Here is a 27,647-nt window from a genome sequence, read left to right on the forward strand (position 1 = left end):
TGTGTTTTTGTAATTTATCTTGAGCAATAATAGTGGATCTTATAGCTATAGGCTATATTGCCTGACATCAGTACCCGTAAGTGACAAAATACAAATAAAAAACATTTTGCACAATGCATATGCTTTGAAAAGAGTGAGAGTGGAAAGGGCAAAGGCAATGTGCCCGATAGGAGAATGTTGTCAACTACCAGTCAATTGTGCACATTGTTAAATTGAGTTGGCAACTACTGGATTCAACATCTGTTAAATCTGTTAATAGTATGAGTTGTTTCATTTTACTTATTCATATATTTAGTTCACGTTCATTTATTATGTAGGTAGTTATATCATCTAAAAATCTTACTTAATATGTTAGAACATTTTAATATTTGTTCCTAAAGATTGCTCTAATTTAAAACCATTTCTGTCTAGCTCTGTCTTGAGCAACACTAAAAAAATAAAAACAAAACAAAGGCTAATTACCTTTCTTTGGTTTAGTGAAGCCTCATGAACTTTATTCAGGTACAAAAGATAGAACAGCAGAGGTAAAATCCCTGTGTGAATGATGATTAAGTCAAGCAATACATTACCAAATATTTACTGAGTACATACTGTATGCTGGGCACTAGTTAAGATTTCAGGAAACAAAACAAAGTCTCTGCTCCCAAGAATCTTGTTTCGTGTATGAGACAGCCAATGAAAAAATAAAATAAAACAAAAACATTTAAAAGAGTACCCTGTAGTAATATTAAGTGCTACAAATAAGTTAATAAGAAAGGGAAAAAAATGGCTGTAGAAGGGAAGGTTTATAGTTCTTGTTTAGCTACACTGGCCTGGGAAAGCTTCTCTTGAGAAGGTATCATTTAAGCTGCATTTTGAATATGGAGAAGGAGCAGTCATATGCTGGGAAGTCAATATTCCAACTAGTGTGTCTGAGAGTAACAAACAGGGGGAAGGGTACAGGGAGATGGCTTTGAGAGGTAACAAGTGCCAGATCATGTACGATGTGGGTAGATCACAGGCAAAAAAAAAAAAAAAATTAATTACTCAACTATAGTGAGATGGAAAAACTGTGGTGGGGGAGACAATTAGAGAAGGCCAGTCTAGAGATGAGATATTTGACTCTTGTAGAGTTCAAATTCAAAACCAGTACTGCAGGCAGAACAACTTATACTGATGCATTGGATGTGAATTGGAAAGTGACAAATAAAATTGGAATTTTGACCCTAACAGCTAGATGGATAACATTACTGTTTATATAAATGTTGAAAACTTGGTAAGAAGAAGATTCTGGGGCTTGTATATGTGTGTGTGTTTGGCAAGGGGATCAACAGTTATTTTTTGGCCATGTTAAGTTTGTAGTGACTACTAGACCTCCAACCAGAGATGTGAAAAAAGCAATTAAATGAGTACAGAGTACAGCAAGGAAGCTAGATTTAGAAAATAACATTTAAAAGTTACCATGATGGAATTCATTTTCAAAGTCAAGAGACTAGATAAATCACTTGGAGAGTGAATGTAGTCAGAGGAGATGGCCGGAGAGATACCTAAAGGACATCAATGTTTCAACAGTTGGAAAAGACCCTGAATTGAAGGAAGCAAAAGCTTCCTCTAAGCCTAGAGAAGAACTTATCTAGAAGAAAAGAATCAAGAGCCACTAGGAAATCAGGTAAAAGGAAGACAAAAAAAAAATTAACCACTATCTTTGCAAAGATGTGTGTCACTGGAAATCTTAACACATTGAGCCATATCACTGGATGAAATGGGAATGTAAGCTTGATATGAATTGGTTAAGGAGAAAATAGGAGGTAAATAACTGAAAACAGCAAATACATGCAGAACCTCTCTCAAGGGTCTTGCTATGGAGGGAAGTAGAGAAATGTGGCAATAAAAGGATTTGGAGTCAACACCATTTACTGTTTATTTTAAGATCAGTGATATTGCACTCATGGTGGTGGGAATGATAAAAAGGTAAATAGGGAGAAAGTAACGATACCAAAGAGAAAAGGAAATTCTGCTGGATGAAAGCCACAGAGCAGTTATGAGGGCAAAGGAAGCAGGGCACAAGCGGAGGATTTGTCATAGATAAGAACAAGGCCAACTCATCTGCTGTCCCAGTAGGAAAGAAAGGCAGACTCGATGGGTGTAGGTGCAGGTAAACTGGTAGAATTGGTGGTAGCTCAATAACAAATTGTAATGGTGTTCTCTTTTAAATATGGCCATCAATTAAGTCTTTGGAAGTAATTGCTAGCTATAGATGAATGATCTTCATTGAAGGTGCAGTATAGCAGCTTTATAGTTGTTAAGAGAATGATAAAGGCAATAATCTATTCTCTGTGATATATATATATAGTTATATATAATTTATTATTTATTAAATTTATTTTTATTAAATTATTCATTAAATTTATATTAAATTGTAGTTATATATAACTATAATTTATATATACTATATAAACATACATATTTATATATGTAGTTATATGTGTGTATATATATATACATAGAACTACAATTTAATGTTTCCTATTGAAATTGTCTCTGTTAAATACACAGGTAGAAAAAAAGCAATTTTATAATAGAAAGTAAAGAAAGCGAATTTATCTGCTTGAAATATATACGAAAATGACACCAAACAATATTGATTTTAACACGAACCTCCTTTATTGTCAGCAGACACATGTTCAAGGCTTCCACATTTTAATTTTTTTTTAATAGGGCAATTGTCAATTTGAATTACTCCATCCTGCTTTGCATAATAATTTACATGTTTATCCACCAAGAATGCTCTGATAAAGGACAATATCCCACGAGAGATGAAAAGGCTTGATTCTTGAATCACACTTTTGCATCCTTGAATAGCAAACCCCCTTTTCCAGCAGCAAAATTGTAGCATTGAGAAAGACAATGGACCCAGTCAGTGGTTTGTAGTTAATTTTTTACTATGAAATTCCATTATACAAAATTGCTTGGAGCAATTTTAGCCTACATCACCCCAGTTAAAACACATTTTTTGTTTTTTAACCATGAAGAATAATTCTTACCTAAAAGGGGGTGATCACAAGGAAGCTTTTATGAGCTCCCAACAAGAAAAGCCAAGCCACTTTCGAAGACAAAAAAAACTTGTTTGTTCACAGTTTTTATTTAACACACCTAGTAATTTTAATATTTACTGATATCCTTTACTTATCAAATAAAGATTTTGGTCTTTAGAGCTTAATGCTCTGCTGAGAGTTGCTGAGGGTTATTAGAGTTCTCTGAGATTTTATTTTTATCTCAGACATAAAGTTGTCTGGGTACATCCTAAAAATACCATACCTCTCTTGATTTTTTCCTGCTTCTCTGTTAGTGAGGCATGGCCTGAGGCTAGGATAAACTCCCATTTAAACTACTTTATAATATGCCTCCCTGGTGTGCAGCTTCTCTGTGTTGCTTTCTCAATTTCTCCAAGCATAGCACATCAGAAAAGACCACATAAAACCCTGGGAAGATGATCACATGTGGGTTAGAGATTGTTGGCATCCAAAACTTAGGCATGAGACTAGGAGTTGGAAATGCTTAAGGATTCCCATGACACTAGTGAAAATCCACTGTTAATACCTGCATTAATGGTTGAATGTCAACTCCAGTGGCCTTACTGTGGCTCCCACTAAGAACTGTCCGCATTGGCATCACCTTCCACTGCTCATCCTTCCTTCCTGTCTACCTGCCTTTTTGCCCAGCCACAAGATGGTCACTTAGTTTGGATTCTCACAGGGTTCAGTTATCTTTTCCCAAGCCAAATGTTATTTCAGTGCTTTTAAAAGTATGTTTCATAGAGTGGTAATGTCTCATGGATGGGTCTCACAGTCACATCTGGGAAGTATTTTTTCAGCGTAACTGGGAACTCTCCAATCTGGTCTTTTCAAACAGAGATCATCTCCGTTCCTTTTTATTTTGTAATACAGATTGAGTATACCTTATCCAAAATGTTGGGATCAGTAATGTTTCAAAAGTTTTTTTATTTTGGAATATTTGCATTATTCTTACTGGTTAAGCAACCCTAATCCAAAACCCCAAATCTAAAATGCTCCAATATGCAATTTTTTCGAGCATGATGTCAGTGCTCAAAAGGTTTCAGATTGTGGAGCATTTTAAATTTCACATTTTTGTATTAGGGATACTCAACTTGTATTAGGGTTCTGCCTTATACTTTCTTTTGAGAAAGTGATCTGTTTTGAAAAAAAGAAAAGTTGGAAAATTACAGAAATGATCCATACTAATGGAAGTGGAGGCATTAGTCTGTGAATCCTCCTAGGTTGAATTTTAACAACGATATTCTGGAGGTAAAACCTTGTGGGACTAAGAAAGTGTGAAAGTGAAGGATGGACATTTATGGACAGTTCTTATGTGACCTCAAATCACATGGACAGCCAGCCTCTTCAACTTAGATGTGGAAGACAAGCATTGCCTCCATATTAGCAACAGGAAAACATTCTCTCTGGATATCTGCAAAAATATCTTAACATTATTTTTCTTTTTCCATTTCTTTGTGGCCTCATTTGCTTTTTGCAGTCTTTGGTGTAGTACAGTGCTAGGGGTAGAAATGGAAATTTGTATTTTCCTGGAGAAAACATAAAACACAGTTAAATAAGGGCTGGTTTATAGTGTCTCACGATTCACCTAGTAAGTCACAAATAGAATGATGAATGGCTCTTCAGTCATGAACACCCACAGCATTAATCGAAAAAGATTATCATAACATATAAGGTCTCTTTTCTCCTCCTGCAATGTGGTAGAATTACAAGATTAGTTCTCTCTTATGGCAGAGAAGAGTTTCTGCTCCAGACCCAGTATTTTTAATTCATCTTGGGAACTAGTCTATGAACAAGCAACAGGATGCAGGGACTGAAAACACCTAGGTTCTATCATACATACAACTTTCAAGAATTCTTTTTGTATTTAATTAAACCAGATATTTTTGCCTTATAACATCTTGTTGATGGTAGGAGCTACTTATTTGTTTTGGGGTAGGGGTACTAGTGAACAGAAACAGTGAAGCGTGATTCTCCCCAGTTTACCCCCACCCCTCCATTTCAGGGTCAGCATAGTTCATTTTTCCATAAATCATTTTTTAAGCAAGATCCTCAGTCAAAATTCTGGCTTTTATATAGAAAAAAGAATTCTGATCCTTTGTGTCTCCGTAATCAGCTAAGCTCCTCAAGTCTCACTTTCAGTTAGCGTGAGTAAGAACAGAAGCCATTTGTTCTGACTTGGCTAATAACCACGTCTCAAGAAAGCTGGACCTTGCTGCCTGATGGTGCTGCAAGGAAATAAATGTTTTTCTCTGATGGAGCACTCACACAGTCGGGTTTGTGTTGTAAAACGGAGGAAATTATCCAACGGCTGTAATTACAGTGACTCATTGACACAAATGCTGAGAGGCAGATGTGGCATAAATAATGAGAGAACACAAAGAAGACTCTTCATTATCAAATCCAGCCTTCACATCTTCATCATCTTCAACCATGAGAATCCCTCTTTCCCCCAAGGCTCTTTGATTATTCTTCCACCTGGAGAACTGGGTGGTGGATATCAGACTGACCTATGAGAGTAACGCAAAATGCAAATGTGAGCCATCCTCTAAGACTGCAAACTGTGTGCCATCAAATGAAAACTGCCATATGGATGGAATAAATAAGGCATATTTAGGGACTGTGCCAAAACCACAGAGCAAAAGAGAAACCCAAACCAAAGCATGACTCCAACAAAAGTCAGGCTGAGCCATGAGGAGACAGTAATAAACTGCAGTGAAATCAATTTCCTCAGCAGCATAGATGGTAGCTAGCACAGGAGGACAGAGCTGTTTTGAAGTCAGACACACCTGGATGACTTTAGAGAGTCACTGATGCTCTCTCAGCCTCAATTATCTCCGTTATAAAATGGGGGACTTGTTTTAGGGAACAGAGAACTAACTCTTACAAAGCTGTGAGAATTAAGAGGTAATAAACATGAGCATAAGGCCAGGTGTGGTGGCTCATGCCTGGAATCCCAGCACTTTGGGAGGCCAAGGATCATTTGAGTCCAGGAATTGAGACCAGCCTGAGCAACCTGCAGAAACCTCATCTTTACAAAAAATACAAAAATTAGCCAGGCAGGGTGGTGCATGACTGAAATCCTAGCTACTTGGGAGGCTGAGGTTGGAGGATCACTTGAGCTCAGGAGATTTAGGCTGTGGTGAGCCATTATTGCGCTACCACACTCCAGCCTTGGTGACAGAGCAAGACTCTGTCCCCGTCCCCCACCCCAAAAAAAACCACAACCATGAGTGTAAAAGGTGAGCATGACTCTAGGGATATATCCTCAAGAAATGGTAGTATTTGTTTCGATTTTCTAATAAGAATGGGGTCTGGATATGCGTTGAGAAGTGCTCAGAACAAAGCACTCACTCGCTCACTTGCTCTCCTTCCCCTCCCCAAACTTCTTGTCCTCTCCTCCCACCGGCAGATATGCCATCCGTATGATAGGAAGTTGAATCCCCATTGAGTGTATTGACAGAGCTAGTTAAAATAATGGATGTTTAGAAGGGAGAACAACATGAAATTAGTTATCATCCACTTAAATACTTATATAATTTATTCAAGTTTACCTTGGAATCAGATACTTAGAGAGGAAACTCAGCGTAGTCTTAAAGAGCATGGACTTGGGAGACTGCCTGTGTTCATATCCCACCTCCCACTTGCTACTTTGTGACCTTGGGCACTTAAATCTGTTTGTATTCCAGTTTTCTTTTCGTAAAGTGGGGAAAGTTATCCATATAATGCTATGAGAGTTACAAGAGTTAATTTTGGTAAAGTGCTTGGGATATTTATCACCTGGCAATTAGTAGGTGCTACTTAAGTGTTTATTAAATAAATAAACACTAATAGATAGGTATGGTGTGGTGGGATATAAAGGATAACTAGTAAAAATTACATTTTTATCTTTTTATTCAGGTTTTTACCAGAAATTTGAAAAATATAAAATTTTAATTAAAGGTCCCGACAGTGATAACAAATACTTAGTTTAACGTTATACCTTTTAGAAGAAAACAAATGGTAAGCCTTGTCTGCAATGATATGAAAAGAGAAAGACATATCTTACAATTTCTACATCATGAGCACTGTATTGACTAAAGCCTGAGTGGTAGTCATATACACTATGAAGGTTCCTTTTTTTTTTGAGATGGAGTCTTGCTCTGTCACCCAGGCTGGAGTGCAGTGGCATGATCTCGGCTCGCTGCAACCTCCACCTCTGCCTCTGCCTCCTGGGTTCAAGCAATTCTCCTGCCTCAGCCTCCCAAGTAGCTGACATTACAGGTGTGCACCACCACGCCTGGCTAATTTTTGTATTCTGAGTAGAGACGTGGTTTCACCATGATGATCAGGCTGGTCTTGAACTCCTGACCTTGTGATCCACCCACCTCGGCCTCCCAAAGTGCAAAGTGCTGGGATTACAGGCGTGAGCCACCATGACCAGTCCAGTTTCTACTTTTTGTCTTTGTTTTTGCATCTTATAGTATTCCAAAATGTCAATTTATAATGGTGATACCTGTAACAACTACTTTATTTCTTTATATTTTTATGACATGAATGAGGACATTTAATTAATTATGTATTTTTTCTATTTACAGATTTTTTATTAAGTTGAATACCATAAAAATCCAGCATTAGCGCTAAAATATCAATGTTAATTATATTGCTGCTAATACTAGTTAGTAGTAACACTGTTAGTACTGCTGATAAGAATGACAACAGAGCACCTGAGCTAGTCCAGTGAATTGTGCATTTTTAAGCCAACATCTCATTTGCGATTTCTGCCTTTTTTCACTAAAGTAAATGTATTTTTTATGACCATAGAGTAGCAATCTGTATTTTTAGTTCCAATAGAAGTTCGACATTCCAAGACTGTCACACACTCTGTATTTGTGTTTTTCACCCACTTCACATTTATTGCAAATTATTCATTCATTCATTTATTCATTCATTCATCCGATACTGATAATCTATGAGATGCTAGAATCTTTTCTTAGAACTTAGATACTAAAGTGAGGAATTTTCAGAATTGTTTTCACTAATGTTCACTACGGTTAGTAGCTTTTACATATTTTGGAATCTGGAGAACAATGAGTGGATAAAATTCATAGCCTTGAACAGTCATTTAAAAATTTGGAAACATTCACCAATTAGTGGATTTCTCTTTGTAGTATAAGTATACCATGGTGGAAGCATTTCCCCTCTGGGAACAAGGAAATCCAGACCCAAAAGAGATTAAAGTTTTAGGTACAGGACACACCAGTCCCTCACATGGGTACCATGGGAATGATGATAAACAAGGCTGCTTATACTTTTACTCCTAGGTTCCCAAGCCCATATTTTCTATCTATTAGGGGCACAGTACCATAAAATGGTCATTGATTTAGAGTGTATATGCTGTCCTGAAGGACACCAAACATTCAAGGTACATATTCTGGTTGGCACTCTAGGTGCATCTTCAAAAGGTGTTTTCATGCCATGTCAAGCTGGCAACTTCTGGGTGATGCAGGACCAGTGTGATAGGACCAGTGGATTCCATAGTCTTATGCCCATTTCTGTATTTCTTTTACTGTAGAATGGGTCCTTTGTTTTGAGGTAATATTATGAAGAAACCAGTGTCAGTGGATCAATCTCTAAGTGCCTGAGTAGAGGTGCTGAAAAAGATCCTGTGGGCATGAAAGGCAGATAAGTGTTAATCTCAGTGAAGATAAACTGCTGCCCTCCGTCAGAGTGGAAGGAGTTCAATGTAATGAACTTGCCACAAGTAGCTGATTGAACTTGATGGATGGTGCCATAATGGGGGTTCGGCATTGGTTCTTATTGTTGACAGGTTAGATAATAGGCAGAGGCAAAGGCTGGATGGTCCCTGGTCAGTGGGAACTCTTACTTTTGGCTTTATGTGTAGCTTCCATTCCTGCTACCCTGGCTACTACATTCACAAGCTTATTGTGCCAGGACAGGAGAGGCTAGCTGACATCAGGTCACTGGGCCATTTCATCTACTTACTGGTTCATGGCCCCTTATTTAACATGTGCTCTTTGATAAGTGTTAACATGTGATACCAAGGTATTTATACTCCATGCTCACACCTATAAATCCATCTGCAGGATTCTATCCCAGACCTCCTACTCTCTGAGCTTCTAACCTTCTTCCTTCCAGGACCTGGACTATGTAGCCATATATTTTCTTTACCTAAGGCCACTTCTGTTCTACACAAAGTGCATGACAATATCTACCACTGAAAACTATTTATTCTGAGGGTTTCTGCTTATTGCCACCTTTCAAGGCCCTCCCTGAGTAGGACTGTGGCTTAGGAAGAGTTCCTTTTCAGCTTTCACTCACTGGGCTGAACTATCTTTAAACCAAGCTCAACCATTTTCCTCCTTCATGAGCTACTCACATGGGACACTCAGCATGGCCATAGCATGACCTGAGGGTGAGGAGGTAGTGCAATGATGGTAGATGACCTGGAATTCTGTGGCACCTACTTATGCAGCTTACTTTGGACCTGCTCATGTCTACTCCTGAGTGAACCACTCTGTCTTACGATGAAGTGTGTCTGGCCCCACTTCTTATGACTTGGTGAATCTGGCAGAAGCCAAATCATGATATATAGTTCTGCCAGTGTGGCCATTTGATGCCCCATGACAAGATGCTACCAGGACCTGATTTTAAAATGGTGAATATTTCTGGGCTTTAGATGGCATGGCCTTGGTCCAGAGACTTAGGGATGCTTGCCATAAACCCTATACAGCATATCTTCCCACACAGACACCAGATGGGTCATAGGGAGCAAATGACAGGGCTGCTTGCATCACAGAAACAGAGCTCTTTCTGCATCTGGATCCCAATGAAATCTGCTAGTTTTCTATGTCACTCTGTAAATGGGTCACAGCAGCATTCCCAAGAGTGAATACAGTGCTGTTCCATTGTATTATGCCTTTTTATGTGTGTTATTGGGTGTTTCGAAATGTATTACTTTGTCCTTTACTTTGGAGGAAATATCCTACTATGTCCCAGACCACCAAACTCCTAAAATCTTCAGTGAATATTTGGAGGAATTACCTCTTACTGTCTAGAGCACCATGTATTTTACCAAGTCCTGCAGGAGCCTACAACTTCATGATCACGCTGGCTGATTAAAATTATATGGACCAATATGACCTTGTTCTGGTACCTCTAGACATGTGAATATAAACTACTTTTAATTCTTTTTGCTGATATGGGTGGAAAATGATGCATTCATCAGATCAATGGCCATTTACAGTGCCCTTGCCCTCTGTTTCAGCAAAGGTACCATACTTGTCACATCAGTTCCAATCAAGGCCACTACTTGTTTAAGTTTATAACCATCTATAAGTCATCTTCCAGTACCCTACTGTTGTTTTTTGTTGGTTTTTTTTTTTTTTTTTTTTTTTTTGGAGAGGCCAGAATACTGAATTATATGGGGACATGATGGTGACGATCAAGGTTATATCCTTTACATTTTTTTTTTTTTTTTTTTTGAGACGGAGTCTCGCTCCATCGCCCAGGCTGGAGTGCAGTGGCGCGATCTCGGCTCACTGCAAGCTCCGCCTCCCAGGTTCACGCCATTCTCCTGCCTCAGCCTCCCGAGTAGCTGGGACTACAGGCGCCCGCTACCACGCCCGGCTAATTTTTTGTATTTTTAGTAGAGACGGGGTTTCACCGTGTTAGCCAGGATGGTCTCGATCTCCTGACCTCGTGATCCGCCCGCCTCGGCCTCCCAAAGTGCTGGGATTACAGGCGTGAGCCACCGCGCCCGGCCATATCCTTTACATTTTTATGGGTGACACTAATTATTACCTAATGTTCCAGGGATATTGTATTATTTTGGATTTAATTATTTATTATTTTGGTTGAGATAGGGGCAATTATAGGGCCTCCACTTAGTCTTCCCGAGTTGTACCATTACAAGTATGTTGTTTCCAACTCTGCATTTTGGGACAAGAGAAGTGTTTAAAGTTATGTCCATGGATCCAGCAGATCCATCTCATTTTTATCTTATGACAGGATTCCATTTATTATCTGGCTACTGCAGGTCCCAACAGTAACAGTGGCCACAATAACACTTTGGGTTCCTCAGTATCAGTGCCGATTTGGACCTAGTATCCAACTATCCTCAAAATATTTTAGTATTTTTCTTACTCCAGTATGTGACTATCTGAGTACAGTAGTGGGGGATACATTGTAAGACCCCCAGTGGATGTCTGGAACTATGGATAGTACCAATGCCTATATATATAGATGCCCCTCAACTTACAGTACAATTACATCCCAGTAAATCCATTGTAAGTTGAAAATATTGTAAGTGAAAAATGCATTTAATACACCTAACCTACCAAACATCATAGGTTATTCTAGCATTAAACATTCTCAGAACACGTACATCAGCCTACAATTGGGCAAGATCATCTAACACAAAGCCTATTTTATAATAAAGTACTTAATATCTCATGTAATTTATTGACTATTGTACATTATGTCAACATTGTGATGGTTTAGCGCCACTGTACAGTCAAAAATCTCATGAATACTGTATGTCAAAATTGTGATGTTTGGCACCATTATAAATTCAAAAAATCATAAGTTGAAAGATCATTAGTCTGGATCATCTATACTATACTTTTTTTCTATACATAAATAACTATGATAAAGTTTAATTTATAAATAAGGTGAATTAAGAAATTAACAACAATAACTAATAATAAAATAGAACTATTATAACAATATGATATCATCACTACTCTTGTGCTTTGGGGCCATTATTGTGTAAAATAAGGGTTACTTAAACATAAGCACTGCCATACTGCAACAGTCTATCTAGTAACCAAGATGACTGCTAAGTGATTAATGGGCAGGTAATATAAGCAGAGTGAATACACTAGACAAAAAGATGATGCGCACTGGTTAGAATAGGGTGCAATTTAAAACTTATGAATTATTCACTTCTGGAATTTTCCATGTAATATTTTCAAATCTTGGTTAACCACAGGTAAATGAAACTGGAAATCAAAACTGCAGATAAGGGGTGACTACTGTAAATAGCTTTATAAGAACTGGGAAATCCTTTCAATCCATACTTGCCTTGGTATTGCAAAGCCTTTCTTCATCTATACTTAGCCTCTCCCTCAGTCAGTGGAATTTAAATATTATAATTGGTTCAGGCCTGGAAATTAAGCAAAGGATTTATGACTTTTTCTTGGGCTGGCTGGTCTCAGCCTTCTGATTATCCATTCTTGATTTCTTCTTATTACAACAAAGAATAAACAGTACCCTTGTTGGCCACTGATCTATTTTGCCCTTGGACTTCAATGTTCAATTAACCATCTCCATACTCTCTGTGGGTCAGGTCCCAAGACTGTCATTCTGACCTTGCTATTTATTTTGATAATTGTGATCACTTTCCTTCTGATGCTAAGGTGTCATCACCTGGCCTCAATTATTTGTGTTTCTGTCATCTCATTGCTGCTAGAGAGCCCAGCTCTGTAACAGCATCTCTTATTGTCAGCCCTGGACTATAGCCGTAGAGATAGCCATAATTGTGTTTCTAAAGCTGGTACCCCTTGCCACCAGTCTACCTTAAAGAAGAATGGGTCACTTCTACAAAACCTTGAAGTCTCAGAGAATTAAAATTTCAAGGTTCTAGAGTGCATCAACCTGAGATTTCCTCAACCCAAGTGACAGAGATAAAAAGAGTTGTGCTGCTTAATCTATCCTGTAAGACATTTTATTTATTTTCCTTACAACTTTTTGTTTTTAAAAACTTCTCAGTCTTCCTCAATTATGATTATTAGAATCCCCAACTAATGAAAGTTACAGTTTTATTCATAGTCTATAGGCTTCTGATTAGGTACCTATATTCGATGGAATATATTTAAAATTTAAATAGACTTTTTATTTTGAGATAATTGTAGATTCACATGTAGCTGTAAGAAATAATACAGAGGCCAGGTGCGGTGGCTCACGCCTGTAATCCCAGCTCTTTGGGAAGCCAAGACGGGCGGATCACGACGTCAGGAGATCGAGACCATCCTGGCTAACACGGTGAAACCCCGTCTCTACTAAAAGTACAAAAAATTAGCGGGGCGCGGTGGCAGGTGCCTGTAGTCCCAGCTATTCGGGAGGCTGAGGCAGGAGAATGGCCTGAACCCGGGAGGCGGAGCTTGCAGTGAGCCCAGATAGCGCTGCTGCAGTCCAGCCTGGGTGAAAGAGCGAGACTCCGTCTCAAAAAAAAAAAAAAAAAGAAAAAGAAATAATACAGAGAGATCCTGCATACCTTTTACTCAAGTTCGACCAGTGGTAACATTTTGCAAAACTATAAATTCAGTATCATAGCCACGATATTGATATTTATAAGCAAGATACATAACATTTCTGTCACCACAGGGATCGCTCATGTGGCCCTTTTGCAGCCACACCTACTTCTCTCTCACCTGCAGCTCCTCCTTAACCCCTGGAAACACTAATCTGTTCTCCATTTCTCTAACTTTATCATTTCAAGAATGTTATATAAATGGTATACAGAGATACCATTAGGTAAATATATACTCATCATAATTCTCTGAAGATTCATTCAGGTTGTTGTGTAAATCATTTGTCTGTTGCTTTTTAGTGCTGAGTATGATTCCATTTAACTGTTAACTCACTGCAGGACACCAGGTTGTTCCAGTTTGGGGCTACTGTGAATAAAGCTGTTATACACATTAACATGTGAGTTTTTGTGTGAACACAGATTTTCATTTATCTCATATTAATGTCCAGGAGAAAAAAATGTGGGTCATACTGTAGTTGCATGTTTAATTTTTAAAGAAATTATGACTTTTCAGGGCAGTTGTGCCATTTTACATTCCCAGAAGCAATGCATCAGTAACTCAGTTTCTCTGTGTCCTTGCTCGCATTTGGTTGAGTTTTTCAATCCATAAACATGGTACATCTCTTGATTTATTTAGATATTCTTTGATTTCTTTCATCAGAATTTTGTAGTTTTCATCATATAAGTCCTATATATGTTTGTTTTATTAGATTTGCACCTAAGTATTCCATTATTTTCTTGAGTGATTGCAAGTGGAAGCGTATTTTTAATTCGATTGCACCCACATGTTTACATCTAGTATTGAGAAATACAGATGAGTTTTGTATGTTTACCATGTGTCCTAAGACCTTGCTGATCAAACTTACTAGTTCTGGGAGGGGTGTGTGTATGTGTATGTGTGTACCATTAAGCATATGTCACCTGTAAGATGTTTGCAGATGTCTTTTATCAACTTTAGAAATTCTCCTCTACTCCTATTTTTCTGATAGATTTTATCTTGAATGGCTATTAAGTTTTATTAAATTTTTTCTGCATTGATTAATATAGTCATGTAATTTTTCTTCTTTAACCTATTGACATGGTAGATTACATTGATTGATTTTTAAATATTGAACCAGGCTTTAATTCCTAGAATAAATCTCATGTAGTCATGGTTTATAATTCTTTTTATATATTGCTGAATTCTATCTCTAATATTTTAAGAATTTTTGCATCTATATTTATTAGGGATATTAAATTGTCATTTCATTTGTTTGTTTCTTTCTTTAAACTGATTTTCTCTGATTTTTGGCAACAGGGTAATGATAACTTCATAAAATAAATTGTTGAAGTGATCACTCATCACACTTTATAAAAGACTTTGAGTTGAATTGGTGTTAATTTTTCTTTAAACAATTATGGGTATTTTCTGGTGAAATTATCTGGGCCTGCAGATTTCTTTTGGGGAGTTCTACAATTATGAATTCAATTACTTTAATAGTAAAGTTATATTTAAATTATCTCTTTTGGTTGGGCATGGTGGCTCATGCCTGTAATCCTAGCACTTTGGGAGGCCGAGGCAGGCAGATTGCCTGAGCTCAGGAGTTCGAGACCAACCTGGGCAACACAGTGAAACCCCATCTCTACTAAAAACACAAAAAATTAGCCAGATGTGGCCATGTGTGCCTGTAGTCCCAGCTGTCGGGAGGCTGAGGCAGGAGAATTGCTTCAACCCAGGAGGTGGAGGTTGCAGTGAGCCAAGATTGTGCCACTGCACTCCAGCCTGGGCAACAGAGTGAGACTTCGTCTCAAAAAGATATAGATATAGATATAGATATAGATATAGATATAGATATAGATATAGATATCTTTCCTGTTGGGTGAATTGCTGATAGTTTGTGTGTTTTTTGAAGGTTTAGTCCATTTTGTTGAAGTTGTCAAACATATGTGTATAGAGATGTTCACTGTTTTCCCCTATTATCCTTTTAATGTCTGGAGAGACTATAAGGATATTCCCTGTTTTATTTCTGGCATTGGTAATTTTTATCTTCTCTCTTTTATTCTTTGTCACTTTTCTTAGTTTGTTTTGCATTGCTGTAAAGGGATACCTAAGGCTAAGTAATTTATAAAGAAAAGAGGTTTATTTGGCTCATGGTTTTGCAGGCTGTACAAGAAGTAAAGCACCAGCATCTGCTTCTAGTGAGAGCCTCAGGGAGTTTTCCATTATGGCAAAAGAGGAAAGAAAGCAGGCATGTCACATGGTGAGAAAGGGAGCGAAAAGAAGAGAGGAGGAATGGCCATGCTCTTTGTAACAATCAGGTCTCATGTGAACTAATAGAGTGAGAACCCATTACCATAATCATTGCACCAACCCATTCAGGAGGGGTCTGCCCTCATGACTCACACATCTCCCACTAGGTCCCACCTCCAACCCTTGGGATTGAATTTCAACATGAGATTTGAAGGGCACAAATGTCCTAATTATATCATCAATCTTGCTACAAGTTTGTCAATTTTATTGAAAAACATTTCCAGGTTACTGACTTCTTCAGCTTCAATTTAAGGATACGTGAATCAGAAAGCATGCCTGGAGAACTTACTAATGTGTTGTTCCTTTGGTCTCAAGTTCCCCAGCAATTCTGCCTTGTCTCTACCTTTTGGAGTCTTCTTATGCTTGTTTCATATAAAATGTCCAGCGTTTTTAGCTGTATTTAGTGGAGAAATAGGAGAATTATGTTAATTTTATCTTCCTGCAAGCAGAAGCCAATAGAATAATTTTTATATGTATTAAACCTGTATCCCAAAGCAGGTATGAAACAAAAATACTGAATGGATTAGAAAAGACAATTTGGATGAAATGTGGATGCAGTTCCTTGCAAAGGAAAATGTGAAATATTGTCCTTGTCTATTATATTTTTTCTGAATATATGAAACAAATTTTGCTTTTCTCTTATTTTTGGTCATAGAGCCTACAGAGCCCTTAATATGTACAGAAAACATTTAATATGGGTTTGAGTTATAAGGTAAAGAGATGTAAAATTAAAGCCCTGGCTGGGTGCAGTAGCTCATGCCTCTAATCCTAGCACTTTGGGAGGCTGAGGCAGGAGGATCACCTGTGGTCAGGAGTTCAAGTCTGGCCTGGCTAACATGGTGAAACCCCATCTCTACTAAAAATACAAAAATTAACCAGGTGTGATGGCACACGCTTGTAATCCCAGCTACTTGGGAGCCTGAGGCAGAAGAATAGCTTGAACTCGGTAGGCAGAGGTTGCAGTGAGCAGAGATCGTGCCATTGCACTCCAGCTTGGGTGACAGAGTGAGACTCAGTCTCAAAAAAAATAAATTAATTAAATTAAAGCCCTAGTAATTTGTAAATACAAAGATTGTATATTTTTCATCTTATAAACTGTCTTAATCCATTTTTATTCCTATAAAAGAATATCTAAGACTGGGTAATTTAGGAAGAATAGGGGTTTGTTTAGCCCGTAGTTCTATATGCTGAGAAGATCAAGGTCAAGGATCTGTCTTCTGGTGAGGGCATTCATGCTGCATTACAACATAGCAGAGAAGGTCAAAAAAAAAAAAAAAAAAGGAGGAGACATGCAAAGAGGAGGAAAAGCTGAGGAGCATTCTGGCTTTATAACAACCCATTTTTGAGGGAACTAATCCATTCCTAGGCGAACAAATCCAGTCTTAGGAAAGTGAGAACTCACTACTACAAGAACAGCACCAAGCCATTTATGAGGAACCTACCCCCATAACCCAAACACCACCCACTAGGTCCCACCTTTAAACGCTGACACATCGGGGATCAAATTTCAACATGAATTTTGGTGGAGAAAAACAATTAATATTCAAACCACAGCATAAACTTACAACCTAATAACCATAATAAACAATAAATTTATTTCCTAATAATCGTATTTTCTTACAACGTTAGGAATAACTGACAAATGGCAACTATCTATGAAGATTCACAGCTGTTAAAAATAATTATTTTTAATATTTACTGTCCATTATTTCTATACATTATATGGAAAGATAAAAAATATGTTAAACAAAGATTTTTATATGTATAGACCAATATATATATGCATACATATATTGCAATTTATATACCAATAAATACACCAATATATATACACATATACATATATGTACATGTAAAACATTTTTGTTTAACATATTTTTCTCTTTCCATATCACAAATAGAAACAATGTGCAGTAAACATTAAAACTAATTATGTTTAACAGCTATGAATCTACGTAGAGAGTTGTCATTTAATAGTCTTTCCTTTCCCACTGAGACAATTTCAGGAAAGTAAACATATTCTTTTAATTGTTTAACTGCCTAAAAATAAATAAGGCTCTGGGGATTCATTTAATTATTCTCAGAATTAATTTAATTTTTCCAAATACGATAATTTAATTTGTGTGTGTGTTGTTTTGTTTTTCCAAAGGTCATAAAGTACATCAGTTCAAATATCCCTGTGTTTTGTTCATTAAATTTCCCTTTTTAAAAAAGAGAATTGCTTAAAGTACTAGGTTATTGATTTAGCATATAGTGAAGGTTTTCATGTGTTTGTGTAGAAGGACTCTCAGCCTGAACCAGGGCTAAACCATCTTAGGTTTTCCTAGAGCTATCTGGAGTACTGAGTAAGTGGCTGCTTACAATAGAGACATCACAGGAAATAACTCACCCTAAGGAAATGGAGTTTAGACAATAATTAGGTAGACAATAATACTCAGTACTATGTCAAAATTGGCCATTAAGCAGATCACAAGTAACTTCATCAGTTTAAGCTCAACATGAAACATAAGAACCATACTCATTAAAGAAAGAAACAATGCTGGGGAAATCTGTTCTCCCCGCTATTATCCAACATTTTAGTGGAGGCCCTAGTCCATGCAATAAGATAAGAAAAAGAAGAGTGGTTTGAAGATTAGAAAATGATCATACAATAACTATTACTGTTATATTTTATTAAAATCCATCTAGAACTTGCAAGTCTAATATGGTAGCCACTGACTTCATGTAGCTACTGAGCATTTGAAGTATGGCTAGTTGGAGTTGAGATGTGTCATAAGTGTAAAACACAGGTGAAATATTTTTAAAGATATATTTGAAAAAAATGCAAAATATCTCATTAAAAATGTTTATATTCAGAATAGAAGTAATATTTCAGATAGATAAGGTTAAATAATATAGATTGCTAAACTTAACCTGTTTCTTTTTACTTTTAAAAATGTTTACTAAAAATTTAAAATTGCATACTGACTCAAATTATATTTTTATTGCACAGCACTGTTCTAGAAAATTCAAGAGAATAAATTCACAAATTATTAGAAATTCTAAATTTCAAGTGTTTGAGAAAGTTTTAATTTATATTTTTAAAAGATTAGAGCAGATTAAAAAGTTATACATTTAATAATTCTATTTGGTCTAATTAGCATTTTTTAAAAGCTTTAGTGAGATCTAAATGGTAAAATTTAAAATTCTCTCATTTAAAAGGCACAATTTAATGTTTTTTAGTATATTCATAAGGTTATAAAACTATCATCACAATCTAATTTTAGGACATTTTGTCACTCCTAAAAAATACTCATTAGCAGTCAATTCCCATTTCCCCTACCTTACCTCCTCAACCATAAGCTACCACTAATCTGTTTCCTATCTATATAAACTTGGTTTTTCTGCACATTTCATATAAATGACATCATACTATATCTATATAGTATTTTTGTGACTGGCTGTTTTTCCTTAGCATAATGTTTTCATGTTGTAGTATTTACCAATACTTCCTTTCTTTTTATTTCCAATATTTCATTATATGAATATACAACATTTCATTTATTCATTTATCAGTTAATAAGACATATGGGTTGTTTACCCTTTTGTCTATTATGAATAATGTTGCTATGAATAAGTTTTTGTTTTTGTTTTTTTGAGACAGAGTCTCACTGTCACCAGGCTGGAGTGCTGTGGAGCGATCTTGGCTAACTGCAACCTCTGCTTCCTGGGTTTAAGTGGTCCTCCTGCCTCAGCCTCCCAAGTAGCTGGGACTACAGGCACGTGCCACCACACCCAGCTAAGTTTTGTATTTTTAGTAGAGACCAGGTTTCACCATGTTGGCCAGGATATTCTGGATCTCTTGACCTTGTGATCTATCTGCTTCCGCCTCCCAAAGTATTGGGATTACAGGCGTGAGACACTGCACCCAGCCAAGTTTTTGTATGTTTTTATTTCTCTTGGGTATATACCTTAGAAGTGGGATTTCTGGGACATATGGTATCTCTATGTTTAAAGTTTGAGGAACTGCCAAACTGTTTTTCAAAAGGTCTACACCATTTTACAATCACCCCCAATGTACAGGGGTTCTGATTTCTCTGCAGTCTCATCATCACTCATGATTCCCATCAGCCTCTGTATCCAGGAGGTTTATATTTGTTAATTCAACTGACCACAGATTGAAAATATTTGGGGGCCAGGGATAGTGGCTCACGCCTGTAATCCCAGCACTTTGGGAGGCTGAGGCGGGCAGATCACCTGAGGTCAGGAGTTCCAGACCAGACTGGCCAACAGAGGGAAACCCCATCTCTACTAAAAATACAAAAAACAAGTATCCAGGTGTGGTGACACATGCCTGTAGTCCCAGCTACTCAGGAGGCTGAGGCATGAGAATTGCTTGAACCTGGAGGTGGAGGCTAGCCTGGGTGACAGAGCGAGATTCTGTGAAAGAAGAAAGAAAAGAAAACAAAAGAAAAGAGAAGAGAAGAGAAGAGAAGAGAAGAGAAGAGAAGAGAAGAGAAGAGAAGAGAAGAGAAGAGAAGAGAAGAGAAGAGAAGAAAAGAAAAAAGAAAAGAAAGAAGGAAGGAAGGAAGGAGAAAGAGAGAGAGAGGAAGGAAGGAAGGAGAGAGAGAGAGAGAAAGGAAGGGAAAGAAAAAAAAAGAAAGAAAGAAAGAAGGAAAGAAAGAAAGAAAGAAAAGAAAGAAAGGGAAAGGAAGAAAGAAAGAAAAGTAAAAGGGAAAATATTTGAGAAAATTATTGCACAAAGTTCAAAAAAAGCAAAACTTGAATTTGCTGAACAACTAGTACTACGTTGAATCAATGTGAATGAAATGATTTATAGGCATTGTAGTAGCAATTATAGGTAATCTAGAGATTATTTAAAGTATACAGGATGATGTGTATAGGTTAGATGCAAATACTATGCCAGTTTATATATGGGACCTGATCATTCTTGGATTTTGTGTCTGTTGGAGGGCCCTGGAACCAATCCCCCATGAATACCAAGGGACTACTGTTATTTGTCCTCTTGGTTATACCTAACATGGGAAATGTGAATTGGTAACTCATTGTTTTGATTTTTATTTTTCTAATGACTAAGGTTACTGAGCATTGTGTCATATGTTTATTAGCCATTTGAATATCTTTGGAGAAACAGCTATTCAAAATATTTGCCTATTTAAAAATTGGATAGTCATCTTTTTATTATTGAGTTTAACAGTTCTTTATAGGCCGGGTGCGGTGGCTCATGCCTGTAATCCCAGCACTTTGGGAGGCCGAGGCAGGCAGATCACGAGGTCAGGAGATCGAGACCATCCTGGCTAACACAGTGAAACCCCGTCTCTACTGAAAATACAAAAAAAAAAAAACAATTAGCCGGGTGTGGTAGCTGGCGCCTTTAGTCCCAGCTACTCTGGAGGCTGAGGCAGGAGAATGGTGTGAACCCGGGAGGCAGAGCTTGCAGTGAGCCAAGATCCGGCCACTGCACTACAGCCTGGGCGACACAGTGAGACTCCATTTCAAAAACAAAACAAAACAAAACAAAAACAGTTCTTTATATATTCTGGATACAAGTGCCTGATCAAATATATAATTTGCAAATATTTTCTCACATTCTATTGGTAGTCTTTCTTGATGGTCATATTTGCAATGCAAAAGATTTTAACTTTTGGTAGTCTCACATTTTTTTTGCTTGTTCTTTTGATGATGTGACTAAGAAATCATCAACTAACTAATCTAACCCAAGGTCATGATGAATTATGCCTATGTTTTCTTCTATGTGGATTTATGGTTTTAGCCTCTATGTTTGAGATCATTGTCCATTTAGAGTTAATTTTTGCAAATGGGTGAGTTGTGTCCAAATTTATTCTTTTGTTTGTAGATATCCAGTTGTCCCAGGGATAGTTGTTGGAAAGAATATTCTCTACACCCTTCCCCTATGCATTTAATTGTCTTGGCACCCTTCTGGAAATCAAATGACCATAAATGTGCTTAATTTCTAGAATCTCAATTATTTTCTATTGATATATATGTCTATCCTTATGCCTGTAATATACTGTGTTGATTACTGTAAGCCTTGGAGTAAGTTTAAAAACTTAGAAATGTGAGTCCTCCAACTTTGCTCTTTTCTGAGATTATTTTGTCTATTCTGGGTTCCTTGTATATGTACATTAATTTTAAGATCAGTTTGTCTTTTTCAACAAAAGAAGCCAATTGGGCTATCAATAGGAATTGCATTGATGCTGTAGATTTGGAAAGTATTGCCATCTTATCAATATTAAGTCTTCTGATCCATGAACACAGGGTGCCTTTTCATTTATTTAGACTTTACCTTTTTCAATAATGTTTTATGATTTTTCAGTTTCAAGTCTTGTGCTTCTTTTATCAAATTTACACCTAAGTATCTTATTTTTGATGCTACTTTAAATAGAATTGTTTTCTTAATTTTATTTTCAGAATACTATTGCAAAAATATAGAAATACAATTAATTTTTGTATATTGGTCTTGTATAGTGCAACTCTGCAAAACTCATTTATTAACTCTAACAGTTTTTTGTGGATTTCTTAGTGTTTTATGTCATCTGTAAATAGCATAGTTTTGCTTCTTCCTTTCCAATCTGGGTGCCATTTATGTATGTATGTATTTCCTAATTGCCCTGTAAATAGAAGTACCAAAAATGTATATCCTTAACTTGTTCCTAATCTTATAGGGAAAGCATTCAGTTTTTCTCAGTTAAATATAATGTTAGCTGTGGTTTCTTCATAGATGGCATTATTAGAGTCTGTGATAGCATTTTTAAGCCTACCTTTCTAGGAGTTACCCTGGGTCAGAGTAGCTTATTGTTCAGTCAGTTTTTGCCAGAAGTTGTGTGAAGCTTCTTCCCTGTGTTGATGGGTCTGTCTGTGACTTGGGTAGATTTGGAAATGCTTTCAAGTCAGCTCCATGTCCTGCTCTGATTGCCCCCAAATGGGTGCAACCCAGCACTTACACACAGCCCTTCTAACCTGTGGAACTGTCTATAATCACAGGGAAGTTCACCTTGATTGTCTCTCGTTCCCACTGTTAAACTTTTGGCTGTTCTGCCATTTTGCCTTTATCAGATCTACTGCTCTTTTAATTTTTTCAACAATAATCTCCATTATTTTAGACAATGAACATACAATGGAATTCGTCTCTCTTTTTCCCAAATGAAGTCAGTCTCTATCGGCAGAGCTGTGAAACTCTTTGCCTTTATGGCTTGCTTTTCTCCCGAAAAGAAATCCTACATCAATTTGCTAGAGCTAGGAATGGGGACCGCTTTCTGATAATGACACTCTTGCTCTGTGAGTAGGCATGGGAAGGGGTGGCAGCCCCTCCAGGCATGGAACCTCTGCCCTACGAAAGAACTGGGGCTGTGGCAATCAGGAGCTTAGTATTCTCAGTCTGCCATGCCTGAAAGCCTGCCAGCCATCCTACAAGTCAGGGCTGGGTGAAACTAGAGAAGCCTGGTCCCCTTGGCTGTTCCTGCCTGGAAGAGAGCTTCTGCAAGGGAGAGTTGGAGAGAATGGGGAAGAGAAATGTCAGCAGTCTGCCCTTCCCACAGTGAAACTATAGCTTCAGACTAGGAGGCTGGGGAAGGGAGTACCACTGTCTCCCTGACCACACCTATGTGACAGTAGGGCTTCTGGCTTAAAGTTTCCCTAACACACAGATGGGGGATAGTAGAGGTTAATGGAGTGAATTCTGACTGAAATATCATGGACTCTTGCTGTTCTCAGGTTCACTAGATTTTCTTGAATAAATGTTTCTTTATTTCCTGTTTTTCCTTGGGACTATTTATAGACACTTTTCATGTTTTTTTTAAATAACTTTCACAAGTTAAATTGTTGTTTCCCTGGGAAAGGGTCCACTGGCAGTCCCGCCCCTGATTTGTGTTTTGCTATGTTTCCTTGAATGGAAAAGAAAGGGAAGGAGTTATAGTGTCATTCCTGTAATAGCACACAGGACTATATCACTGGAATGAAGACGTAATATCCCATGTGTGATATGGTAAAATGTTGGGGACATCTAAAATAAACAATGAACAGTTTAAGGGTTTTGAACAAAGGAGGAATAGGATGGTATCTGCTATGAATATGGCAGTTCTTGCAACTACCACAAGAATATGAATTTGATAATGATAAGATGGGCAACAAGAAAATAGATTAAGAAGCTTTCAAAACTGAATCATATGTCTTATCAGTGCTCTCATTTGCAGTTTGTCCAGGAGGGAAAGCTATGCAAATGAATCCATAAAGGCATATATTAGAATTGATGACATTTGAATGGAAAAGAGGGGTGAGGGACAAGATATAGTGGAGGAAAATTTTATTGACTTTGGCAATGGATTGGTTGAAGAAAGGGAAGAAAAATAAAGCATCAAGGGTTACATTGAGTTCCTAAGGCAACCACCCTGTTTGTCGTTTCCAGAAACAGGGAATTCAGACAAAGGCTCTAATTTGTAGGGAAAGCTAGTGGATTTGGATGTTAGACTTAATGAAGATGAGTACCATTGCTGCTATAAAGAAGGTCTGGATTCATCAGATCTGAATTGTTAATTTGTATCTGGATTTTAGGAGAGAAGTTATTGCTAATGAAGCCGTGAGTGTAAATTAAATAGATTATATAGACATAAAAGGGTCAGGAACTCCCTGGAAGAGCTGCATATAAGGGAATAGAGGGTGACGGAGTTAGTAGAGGAAACTCCAAAGGAGTAGTCAAGGGAAAGAAATAGAGACAAGAGGATAGTCTCTGTTATGCTTACAATTCAACTTATTATCTGTATGTTATCCAGTCTTTAGATTATCAATGTTTCTGTAATTTTATTTTAAAATCTCAAGCCCAGTGTCAGTTTGGTACAGGAAGATATAGTCGATGGCTTCATCACTGAGTTATTTTACAGAAAAATATTTTATTCCTTTTATAAGATCCTTCTGGTGATCTATTCTATGCCCCTAGATCAGAAATGAAATACAAAATTAATACACTGGGACACTCCTAGCCTGCCTTCCTCCTATATGTCTACATCCCAGTGCAAGTATTTAAAGCAGGGATGCCTATACCTTCACTTAAAGTTCAATGAATTCTTAATTTAAAATGAAGAAATACATTGAGCTTACTTATTAGGGTATTTGCCTAAATGAGTTATTTTACTTTGGTGCCTAAGATGTGGTCTCCATTCTACTTTCTACTGCTTTCTATTTCTGCTACCAACTTTTTTCCCCTCTCACCTTCTTTTGTTTCTTAGTCTATGGAGTCCTGCAAGTACAGCCAGCTCAGCACAGGTTACTCTCAAGGTGAGAGAGTCTTCACATTTCATACCTTCAAATGGCAATGACAATAGCTGATATTTATTAAGCATTTAGTATATGCCAGATGCTATATTAAACATTTTAATGTATCAATTTATTTTTTAATTTTTATTTTTTTGAGACGGAGTCTCACTCTGTCGCCCAGGCTGGAGTGCAGTGGCATGATCTTGGCTCACAGCAACCTGCGCCTCCCAGGTTCAAGTGATTCTCCTGCCTCAGCCTCCCGAGTAGCTAGGATTAGAGGCACGTGACACCACACCCGGCTAATTTTTATATTTTTAGTAGAGATGGGGTTTCATCGTGTTAGCCAGGATGGTCTGGATCTCCTGACCTCGTGATCCGCCCACCTCGGCCTCCCAAAGTGCTGGGATTACAGGCGAGAGCCACCACGCCCAACCTGTATCAATTATTTTGACCTTCACAAACACACTCTTTAGTAGGTACAGTTGTTATTGCCATTTTGCATATATGTGAACTGAAGCACAGGGAACTGTAAGCCCTGCTCAGACTCATATAGCCAGGGCCTGTGCAGAAGCAAGATGCCACCACTCGCTAGCTCAGAGCCAGACCTATCTTTTCCACTCACCACCAGAATCTATAATTATCAGAGCCAACATTTTCCTTATCTATTTCCATAGATCTTTACGAAAAAAATCTCAAATCATATATTCTTTCTCAGACCCAAAGTACTTGGAAGTTAAAATACAAATCTGATACAATTCTACTGAAAAGTTACTTATAATTCTACTGAAGTTACTTATAGCAACTTATTGTCAAAACCTACAGGTTCATCAAATATGAACCTAATAGAAAAATACAATCTGAGAACTATTAACAGACATGGTAGTTTGCAAATAGGTTTGAAAAAAAAAGTGTCATCTGAAAAGCAGGCCTTTCATTAACAACATTTTTTCTTTTCCTTTCTTTTTATTTTGAAAAATAGTTCCCACTCTTTATTTTCCCTTTCCTATTGCTGATATCTTTCACTGTTTATTTAATACCAATGGAACTGGACTCTAAGTATCAATGGTTCAGCCAGTCCAACACTTGAATAAATATTATTGGGCTCCAAATGCAAAGCTGTTGGATGTAAGAGACACCAGTACATTACTCACAGTGGTATTCCATAACAGAATGATGGGCAGCATGCCATTCAATATCTCATCCCATTCCACATTACAGACAGCAATTACACAAGTATGCATGGGGCCAAAGGCCTTGGGACTTTTCCTAAGAAAGGAACATGCTTACACCAAGGGTCAGGTTTGATAGATATCCCTATTTAAAGTAAGCATGCAGCTGAAGCTTCAGCCAAAGATCCAGCTGGTAATTGTAATACTGAAAGTGGCATTGGAAAAACTTGTTAGATTTTTAAGTGGCAATAGAGCAGCCAGTTGAGAGGAAATAGTTAAGCCCATTCACAGGTTTAATCCCGGAAAATATATACTGGAATAACTGTTACTTGTTTGTGAGGAAAAATATGTCTAAAGCACTTAAAATTAGCACTGAAAGTCTGGGTCTTTGGCCCCAGTTATTTACTCAGTCGCTATGATAAACCTTTATGCATTTTTATTGGGGAGACTTGGCCACAATGCTGTTTTGCTCCTAAGATGTGCTTTGGCTTTGTGAACAAGAAGTGCACCAAGATAAACCTTGGAACATATTTAAATCCAGTTATTTAACTCGCAGTAAACAAGGTCACAAGCAGCAAACTTGGTAAAATGAAATGCTCTTTATGAAAAAAGATAATCAAATATAACCTAGTCCACAGCAAAACCGAGACCCTTCCCAGACCTTTCTTTGGGTTCAGATGGGAGAATGCATAGTTGTCTCTCTCCTCCTTGTTCATCACTATGAGCCCATTCAGATGTGGTATGGGGGAAGAGGGGAGGGAATCTGCCTCAGTGACTCCTATTACACTGTTAAACCAATTTGTATCCTAGATGCAGATAGCTGGTGGGTTGCCCTAATTTTCAGGAATATTATAAAAGCTTTGCTATTCTACTGATCCTTCTTCTCAGTATTGCAAGGTAGCTCAACACAGCAAGTAGGACAAGTAAAATTCATTTCATTTATAAGAACACCCTTCAGGCCCCTCTCCCTTTGAAATATGAGAAAGAATTAGGCCTATTCATGCGAGTCAAGTATTTAATCAGATTGTAAAAATAATATTTACTAGTGTGCTCTTAGAGTCACTGAACATTTGGGACCCTAATTAAAAGTATGATTGTAAAGTTTTTCCCATTGGGAACTACTTACATTTGCAGACGTTTTCCAAGTATCTCTTTCCACAGGAATTTGCCTTTAATTTTTGAATTGAAACACACACACACAAACACTGAAACCAGGAATTTAATCACAGCTGGATGGATTGTGCACAGATGTCTCACGCAAGTTAGCATAGAGCTGAAAGACAAAAATAAAACTGAGGGAGAAATCAGTGTTATCTTTTATTGACACATAGAAGGGCAGAACTGGGTGCTTTAAAGGAACACAATAACTAATAGCTAGTTGATTCATTAGCTGATTAATTCTTATAGAGTCAGAGAATAGGAAAATAATGCTTAAATTCTCCTTCAGAAACTCTCTTGTTTTGCTTGTTTTGATATAGTTTATATTTAAAAAGGTAACAAAATTCTGAAATATAACAGGATAGACCAAATAGATCCACTTAAGGAAAAATGCA

At 37.4% G+C, this 27,647-nt stretch overlaps 2 long non-coding RNA genes across 3 annotated transcripts in view; one reads left to right on the top strand and one right to left on the bottom strand.

The window, feature by feature from the left end:
• The window catches only part of LINC01818 (long intergenic non-protein coding RNA 1818), a 186,703-nt gene that overhangs the window by 60,150 nt on the left and 98,906 nt on the right, over positions 1 to 27,647 (top strand). The gene's annotated exons all lie outside the window — the stretch shown is intronic.
• Positions 5,254 to 27,369, bottom strand: LINC01817 (long intergenic non-protein coding RNA 1817). The gene is made up of 3 exons (NR_146972.1): positions 27,221 to 27,369; positions 15,945 to 16,049; positions 5,254 to 5,563 (listed from the first exon to the last, which is right to left on the bottom strand). It is a non-coding gene; the product is annotated as a long intergenic non-protein coding RNA 1817 (long non-coding RNA).

This window comes from Homo sapiens, chromosome 2 (genome assembly GCF_000001405.40).
Source record: "Homo sapiens chromosome 2, GRCh38.p14 Primary Assembly".
Taxonomy (NCBI): domain Eukaryota; kingdom Metazoa; phylum Chordata; class Mammalia; order Primates; family Hominidae; genus Homo; species Homo sapiens.